At 37.6% G+C, this 8,792-nt stretch overlaps 2 annotated features.

Moving 5' to 3' along the window:
- Positions 5,200-5,700: an enhancer, noted in NCBI's record as "OCT4-NANOG-H3K27ac-H3K4me1 hESC enhancer chr2:170962392-170962892 (GRCh37/hg19 assembly coordinates)". NCBI's record gives its function as "activates a minimal SCP1, AML or CMV promoter by ChIP-STARR-seq in naive H9 embryonic stem cells {active_cell/tissue: H9 hESC(naive)}" and the evidence as "EXISTENCE:reporter gene assay evidence [ECO:0000049][PMID:30033119]".
- Positions 5,701-6,201: an enhancer, noted in NCBI's record as "OCT4-NANOG-H3K27ac-H3K4me1 hESC enhancer chr2:170962893-170963393 (GRCh37/hg19 assembly coordinates)". NCBI's record gives its function as "activates a minimal SCP1, AML or CMV promoter by ChIP-STARR-seq in naive H9 embryonic stem cells {active_cell/tissue: H9 hESC(naive)}" and the evidence as "EXISTENCE:reporter gene assay evidence [ECO:0000049][PMID:30033119]".

Here is an 8,792-nt window from a genome sequence, read left to right on the forward strand (position 1 = left end):
TCAAATTTATCAATTGTTTATTAGTTTGTCCTTTTGGGGTGACTTATTTAAATTAGTTAAAAGTACCTGGAAACCTGGTAGCAAAATGAGAAAATAATATAAATAATTCACATAACCAGAAATCTGTATTATTATTATGTGGATGAAAGAAATGCTCATCCTCACTAACAGGGAAATACAGGCTAAAAGCATAATGACATACTATTCTAGAAAGCATTAGGATTTCCTTGCTGGCAGTACTTGGCAAAGATAAATATGAATACTTTATGACCCAGCTATCCCAATCCTAGATATATATTCCAGAGATACTTTTTTTTACACAGGAGATGGGTGAGAGAATATTCTCCGCAGTGTTTTTTGTTATTCAGCACAAAAGGAAGAGACATATTTTTTTTTGAGTGGTAGATACATGCTGAGGAAACTCTGCGGCTGTCAGATGCGCACATGGTAACAGAGATAATTGTTCAAAAACATGACGCTGGGTGAAAAAAGAAAAAGGAATAAGATCTATAGCCCAAGCCATTTATGTATACTAAAATGTATACACATTAAAAAAACTCTATATAAGTTTAAAGAATACAATCGACATCCAAGCATAGTTTCAGGAACATTCTCTAGGAACTTATGTTTGGGGGCAAGAGGAGGACAGGAAGAGAAGAACTGGGGACACTGGGGAAAAGAACAAAACCAAACCATAGACATACCTTGTGCAAATAGGGGATGATTATCCTAGCTCTCTCACCCTAAGACCAGCACTCCCTAAATAAAAGTATACTCCATGTTTTTAAGGACCACTAGTGTAGTCATAGTGTCAATAGTTACTGTCAGTGATAGGTAACAGTGGTGAGTAAAATATGGGTGAAGCTGATGCAAATTTTATAAAACAAGAAGACTTATAGAGATCTAAAGATATTTGTAAATGACTGTTAATTAGATACAGTTAAATCAACACATGTTTCAGGTCATTCTGCTAGTGTTCAACTGGTTAATGCCAAATGCAAACTGCAATTTCAAAATGCAGTTTACAAATGTTTCAAGACATAATAGCACTCTATTTTCTTTTTATGTTTATTATTATTAAATTTTTTGGTGTGGAACAAATTTTCAGAAAAGTACATAATTCCTAATTGTTTACTTTAGTGAGTTATCACAAAGTAAACATATCATCACCAAGTCTTGGGCTATAGATCTTGGGCCATATGGCTTGGGCTATAGATCTTATTCCTTTTTCTTTTTTCACCCAGCGTCATGTTTTTGAACAATTATCTCTGTTACCATGTGCACATCTGACAGCCGCAGAGTTTCCTCAGCATGTATCTACTACTCAAAAAAAAAATATGTCTTTTCCTTCTGTGCTGAATAACAAAAAACACTGCAGAGAATATTCTCTCACCCATCTCCTGTGTATATAGAACACAGCAGAGATGCCAGAGGCCCTCCATGACCTCACCCAGATGCTACATCCTTTTTCCTTTCCAGGCGCAATTACTGTCTTCCAACACCATAGCTTAGCTTTGCCTGGTTTTGAACTTTTGTTTAGAATTTTTAAATGCCTTAGTACTATAGAAATTTTAAAAAATCTAAAGTTGAATATTAGACCTATATTTGAGATTTCATTTTATAAATAGTGTTTTCTTAAAAAAAATCTTCATTTCCAACGGTTTATTGCTAGTATTTAAAAATCCAGTGATTTTTGTGTGTTGGCCTGATATGTTGTGACCTTATCAAACTCACTTATCAGTTCTAGGAGATGTTTTTTCTTTTTTTTTTTGTGGTAGCTTTTTTAGGATCTTCCATGTGGATAATTATGTCATCTGTGAATAGAAACAGTTTTTTTTCCTTTCTAATTTGTATGACTTTTATTACTTTTTCTTGCCTTATTGCACTGATTAGGATATGCAGTCAGGGATAAGAGAGATAACAGCAGATCCTTCCCTTGGTCCTAATCTTCAGAAAAAATTACCCAGTCTTTAACCACTAAGTATAATGTTAGCCGTATTTTTTTTTTAGTTGTCCTTTCACAGGTTAAGGAAGTTTACTTCTATTTTTTAGTTTGCTGCTAGTTTCAGTTATGAAGAGATGTTGAATTTGTCAAATTCTTTTTTTGTGACAATTGGTACAATCTTTACACCATGTATAGGGTAGATTACATTTATTGACTTCTCCCCCTCCCCATGGAAGTTATAAAAGGATTGCTTTTTTGTTGTTTTACATTTTAAGTTCCAGGATACACACGCAGTACATGCAGGTTTGTTACATAGGTAAACGTTTGCCATCGTTGTTTGCTGCACCTATCAACCCATCACCTAGGTATTAAGCCTCACGTGCATTAGCTATTTATCCTGATGCTCTCCCTCCCCCCAGCCCCTGACAGGCCACAGTGTGTGTTGTTCCCCTCCCTGTGTCCATGTGTTCTCATTGTTCAGCTCCCACTTATAACTGAGAATATGTGGTGTTTGGTTTTCTGTTCCTGAGGATAATGGCTTCTGGCTCCATCTATGTCCCCACAAAGAACATGATCTCATTCCTTTTTATGGCTGCATAGTATTTCATGGTGTATATGTACCACATTTTCTTTATCCAGTCTATCATTGATGAGCATTTGTGTTGATTCCATGTCTTTGCTATTGTGAATAGTGCATTTATTATTGAAATCAGTCTTATATTCCTAGGATAAATCCTAGTTGATGTTAGTGTACTATTATTATTTATTTATAATGCATTCAATTAACTAACATTTCATTGAGGAATTTTGCGTCTATGTTGATGAAGGATATTGGTCTATAGTTTCCTTGTATTGTCTTTGTCAAGTTTTAGTATCAGGGTAGTGCTGGCCTCATAAAATGAGATGTTTTCTGAAAGACATTGTATAGAATTAGTATTATTTCTTCTTTAAAGGTTAGGTGGAATTTGCCAGTGGAGTAATCTGGGCCTCTTGATTTCTTGTTCAGAAGATTTTAAACCACAGATTTAATTTATTTACAATTTTAGGACTATGTAGGTTGTTTGTTTCATTTACAGTGAGTTTTAGTAGTTTGAGGTTTTTGAGGAGTTGGTCCAGTTTATCTAATTTTTTAGTCTATAAGCATTAAATTGTTCATAGTATTCACCTTATCCTATTATCCTATTAATGCATATGAAATCTCTAATAATATTCTTTTTCATTCCTGATAGAATTTATGTCTTCTATTTTCTTTTCAGTCTTCCAAGATATTTGTCAATTTTATTATTTTCACATAACTAGCTTTTGATTTCATTTATTTTCCCTATTGCTTTTCTGCTTTCAATTTCATTGATTTCCGCTTTTATTATTTCCCTCCTTCTTCCTCTGAGTTTGTCTTACTATTCTTTTTCTAGTTTCTTTAGGAAGAAGCTTAGATTATTGGTTTGAATTTTTTTTTTTCTTCTGAAATTAGTATTTAGTGTTTGGATATCTTTCTGTTCTCTTTCAGTTGATGATTTCTGATTCAATTCCATTATGGTCAGAGAACATACATTGTATAATTCCAGTTCTTTCCAATTTGTTAAAGTTTATTTTATGACATGGAATATGGTCCATCTTGGTAAATGTTCTATGTGTACTTGAAAAGAATTCTGCCATTGTTGGGTGGAATATTCCAAAATTTTCAGTTAGATACAGTTGGCTGATGATGTTCAGTTCTCATAATCTTGCAGATTTTCTATGTACTAGTTCTATTCATTACTGAGCAAGGAGTATGAAATCTCCAACTCTAACTGTAATTTATTTGTTTCTCCTTTCAGTTGTATTAGCTTTTCTTCATGTTCGAAGCTCTGTTGTTAGGCACACACACATTTAAGATTGTTCTGTCTTCTTGGTGAAATGACCATTGTATCATTATAGAATGCCCTTCTTTATACCTGGTAATTTTCTTTGCTCTGAAGTCTACTTTGTTATTAATATAGCCACTCAGCTTAAAAAAAGTGTGTTCCTGGTATATATTTCTCCATCCTTTACTTTAAACTTACCTATATCATCATATTTAAAATAAGTTTTTTGAAGATATTATAGTTGGAACTTTAAAAAAATCATTCTGATAATCTCTATCTTTTAACATGTATTTAGACCATGTACATTCATGTAATTATTAATATATTTAGATTTAGGTCTATATTTTTAGTATTTGTTTTCTGTTAATGAGTATTTGTTTCTGTTTTCAGGCTTGTGAGATCCTAAACAAAGAACCTACTAAGTTCTGCCCAGATTTCTCACTTACAGAACAGTAAGATAACAGACTTGTATGGTTTTCAGCCGCTAACTTTGTGGTAATTTGTTATGCAGCAGTAGAAAATTAATACGGATGCCTTTCCACATTAAATCAGTGCTGGCCTATGTGATCAGTACAGTATGGAGGAAGCAACAATGTGTGACTTTGTTTCTGTGTGTGTGTGTGTGTGTGTGTGTGTGTGTGTGTGCGCGCGCGCATGTGTATTTGTAGAGATGGGGTCTCTCTTTGTTGCCCAGCCTGGTCTTGAACTTCTGGCCTCAAGCAATCCTCCCAACTCTGTGTGACTTTGACGACTACATCACACAAGCGTCATGGCAGCCCTGTGAAGAGGCTGACTTGGAAAAAAAAAAAAAAAAGAAATGCTTCTGCCAACGTCCAGCAACATCTTCCAGCCATATGAATGAGCCACCTTGGAAGTGGATCCTCCAGCTCCAAACAAGTCTTCAGATGTGTGTAACCCCAGCCAATATCCAACTGAAACCTCATGAGAGACCCTTGGCCGGAACTACCTAGCCAAGCAACTCCTGAAATCCTGATCACAGAAACAGTAAGAGGTAATAAATGACTAGTGTTTAAGCACTACATTTTGGGGTACTTTTTAATGCAGCCTTAGATAACTAATACATGGCCCTATTACATGCCTACATACTAGAAATATAGCAATGAGTAAAGCCAAGCGCCTGTGTCATGCAGTTTTTATTCTACTTTAAGAGAAGGTATATAAACTATACAAATAGTTAAAAATACACTTTGCCAGGTAGAAATAAGTGTTGAGAGAAAAATAAATCAGTATAAGAAGTTGAAAAGTAATAATGGGGCTTCTATAAGATGGCCAAGGAACACATCTTTAATAAGTAAAAATATGAGTACTGACCCGAAGTGAGGGATCAAGCCATGCAGGTATTTTGGGGAAGAACATTCTAGCAGAGGGAACTTCAAGTATAAAGACCATGAGGTGGGAGTACCCTTAGTGAGTATGAAGAATTGCCAAAGATGTGAAGAGTTCTGTGTTGTGTTTTAATTGAAAAACTTCAAGAATGTTGGAATGAGGATTGCCAGATTAAATATAGACCCCCTGTTAAATTTGAATTTCAGATAAATAACTTTTTTTTTAGTAAAAGTATGTTTCAAATATTGCAAAAATTATTAGTTCCTTATCTGAAATTCAAATTTAAGTAAGTATCTTGTAATTTCATTTGATAAAGTAAAATGATTGCAGGAATGGAAAGCACATCCCTTTGGAGGAATGGTGAAGGAGTGCACATGAATATTCCAGAACAGAGAAGGGAGGATGCACCCATTTCCACCCCCAAATTAAAGCCACATTGAATTTTTTAATTCTATGGACAGTACCGGAGGAAGATTAGCTTAGCCAACTGTGTCTCAGACGCTTCCCTCAGATGTTTTGCAGGCACTGGAAACTAAAACCCACTGAATTCATGCATATCTTTGGGCAAGCATCCATGTAGGTAGAATATGGGAGTAGTGCCAGATGATATCTGCAGTTTCGTTTGGCTTTTACACTCTGCGATTCAATGAAGGGTTAGAAATTACATACTAACTTCTTGTTTTTCAGTCTCCACAGAGAATAGAGCAGGAGTTGATGAGTCTTGCAATGAGAGAATTGATGAAATACTTAAGGAAGAACTTCTTAACTGAAGGGCAATTAAACACAAATGGCTTTGCATGGGAGGATATGGAAATCTTGCTCCTTTGTGATCTTTGAAAAGAGGCAGCAGCTGTTGTGAGCAACTTAAGACTCACAGAGTGCTATCCTGGAGGAGGAGGAGGATGAACCACATCCTGGGAATAACTCTCTATACACTTTAACATATTTTCCTGGTGGTCCTTATGCACACTACAGTTTGAGAATCATGGTTATTGAGAAATAAAAGGCTTTCTTTCTCTGCCTAGGCTTAGGCCTTTAATGACCTATTTAGTCTTACATGTGGTGATGGAGACCTCTGCCTAAGCTTATTTTCTACAGGGATGGTACACATGCTGAGAATGAAATGGGAGATGGAGATGCTAAAGGATTTAAAAAGAGGTTTTAGATCAAGGTGTTCTAGGCCAGGTACAGGAGAGGTTTACGGGCTCCTACTTTTGCCAAAAGCTCCCCTTACAACTTTACTATCTGTATGTCCTAAAACCATCTCTGTCTCTTATCTTCCTAAAGTTTTCTACCAAATCTTTTCTTTAATTGAATGATATCTTTATTAAGTAAAAATGAAGGATTCTTTCCATTCCACCATCAGTTCAGATTGGGGACCCAGAATATCCCAAACCTTTATGGGGCAGACAACCATCCCTTCTCAAAGTTTCAGGAAGAACTAGTGGAGCTGGTGAAAATAAAATAGGGGAAGAGCTTAGGGTCATCTAGGAAGCAATTTAATGTCATTTAATATTACAAAAGGAATCTAAAGGCACCTAGCATCTCCAAGTTCCATTTTGACCCCATAACTCAAGAGTTGTGGTTGTGAAAGTCCTTGTTAAGAAGGAAATTTGAAGGAAAGACTATTAAGTAGAACATTTCAGACATCCCCTTTACGGCCACTGGAGATTCTACCGGAGCAGCTCCCTCCAGCTGACCTGATGGGTTACAGCTCAGCTCTGGGTCGTTTTTTGGATTCCTCCAGATTTCTGCCAAGCCCTGGGTTGCCCATTCCTCTCCTCCTATCAGCATTCCCATGTTTATCAGTCTGTTTCAAGCTCTCTTTGAATGGCCTCCTGCTGGTGGATGACCCTGTCATTATTAGGATGTCCCATGCCTCAAACTCCTTTTACCCTCCACAGACTTTTATCCTTATTTCAAGTTGATGCAGGGCAGATAATGGTTTTCCTGACCTTTTGTCTCCTCTGCCTTAGATACAGAAAGAACCCTGATCCTGTGTCTATGGGTGGCAGTCAACTTGGGGTCATGAAAATTGCCAGCTTCTTATAAACAGAGCTCTGAAACATGCCAGAATTTATTGTTCAAGCACCTGAACAAGCCAATTCAGCCCAAACAGGGTAAACCCACACTCTAAGCCCAGGCCCACTTCGTGTGAATAGCTCACCCACCTCCCCAACCCCTGCAAGTTCCATGAATCTTGCCCCATAGCAGGCTACAGCCAGTCTTTGCTTATGGTAACTCCAAACTGGTTCTAAAAGTTTCTTCCAGGAGATTCACACAAAATACTTTTCTCCTAGCAGAGCAGCTTGGTTTGATTTGGGCTATTTGACTACAAAAGCCCAGAGGCCATGCATTTATTTCAAAATATTAGGAATCAGCAGCACAAATGAGATTGCATTTTTGTGAAAAGTTAAAGATTTCTCATTTAGGGAGAGAGTTCACAAAGGACCCCATTAGCCAAGCCTCACCAGTAATTAGTCTGATTTCTCATGCAAAAGGCAGGCTAATTGTCTGCCATCCATTCCAAAAGACAGAGACACTTTAAAACCTACCACCCATTGAAAAATATCTCTGGAGAATTTTCTGCTATATCTGAAGTATTTTCCATTAACGAAATGTTCAAACTAAAATTAATATATGAAGTTATGAACAAAGTGGCTGACTATAAATATGTCTTTTCAAATGTCAAAACATGGGCCTATTACTTATGACACTGAACTATAGAGAAATGGAAAGGGGCTGATATTTATAAAGCAATACTGTGAAATATACATTATTATTTAATAGATGGGGCAACTGAAGCTCAAAGAAGGTAAACAACTTTCCCAAAGTCACACAACGAGTTAGTGGCAGAGCTGGGATTCAATGGGTTAAAGCGAATATCATTTCCACAACCCAATGTGGAGCTTAGGAAGAAAGCAACATCGAGTTAGGGGTGTTTGAGGCTGGGTATCGAGAGATCTGCAGGATGGTCTAGTTTAACTGTGTGATCTCTCAAGGGACAGAATCCATTAGCCAAGTGCATATGATGAGAACAAAGTTGAAACCAGTGTAGCAGAGCCGGTTTTTGAGCCTAACCTGTGCTCACCTGAGAGCTGGACTTGTCTCACTAGGTTTGATAGACCAATGGCCCATCTAGGATATATGCACATAGCATGTTGGCCCATGACAGTGTCCTGGAGGACACGGCTATAGTCAAACTCATGCACACGAAGCCTGCAGCAGCAATGGTGCTGTATGCTTCAGAAACATTTCTCTCCATGCAGACAACTTGAGACACTGGCAGCTTTGGTGTGAATCGCTCACCCACCTCCCCAACCCCTGCAAGTTCCATGAATGCATCAAGAGGTCCCTGGAAGCAGCAAAGCCATGCTAGATCAGAAACACTGACCTCTTGGCTTCTTCCTCTCTGCTCCTCTCTAATGCCAGAGTGTGGCTCTATTCACTCCAGCTTGTCCACATAATGTCCTCTGCTCCTGCTCCTCCATTCCAGTAGGCAATGACTGCTGCCACTGTTCCCATGCTGCACCCCAAGGTCTCCCAGCAGTCACAATGCTGGGGTGGGGTGAAGTCCCTTCGTCCTGAGTTCCCAAAGCCACAGCCCTTCTGTTTCTTCAAGAGTTTTCATGGGTTCTGCCCCATTATTGATACCT

The sequence above is a fragment of the Homo sapiens genome, chromosome 2, assembly GCF_000001405.40.
Source record: "Homo sapiens chromosome 2, GRCh38.p14 Primary Assembly".
Classification (NCBI taxonomy): Eukaryota; Metazoa; Chordata; class Mammalia; order Primates; family Hominidae; genus Homo; species Homo sapiens.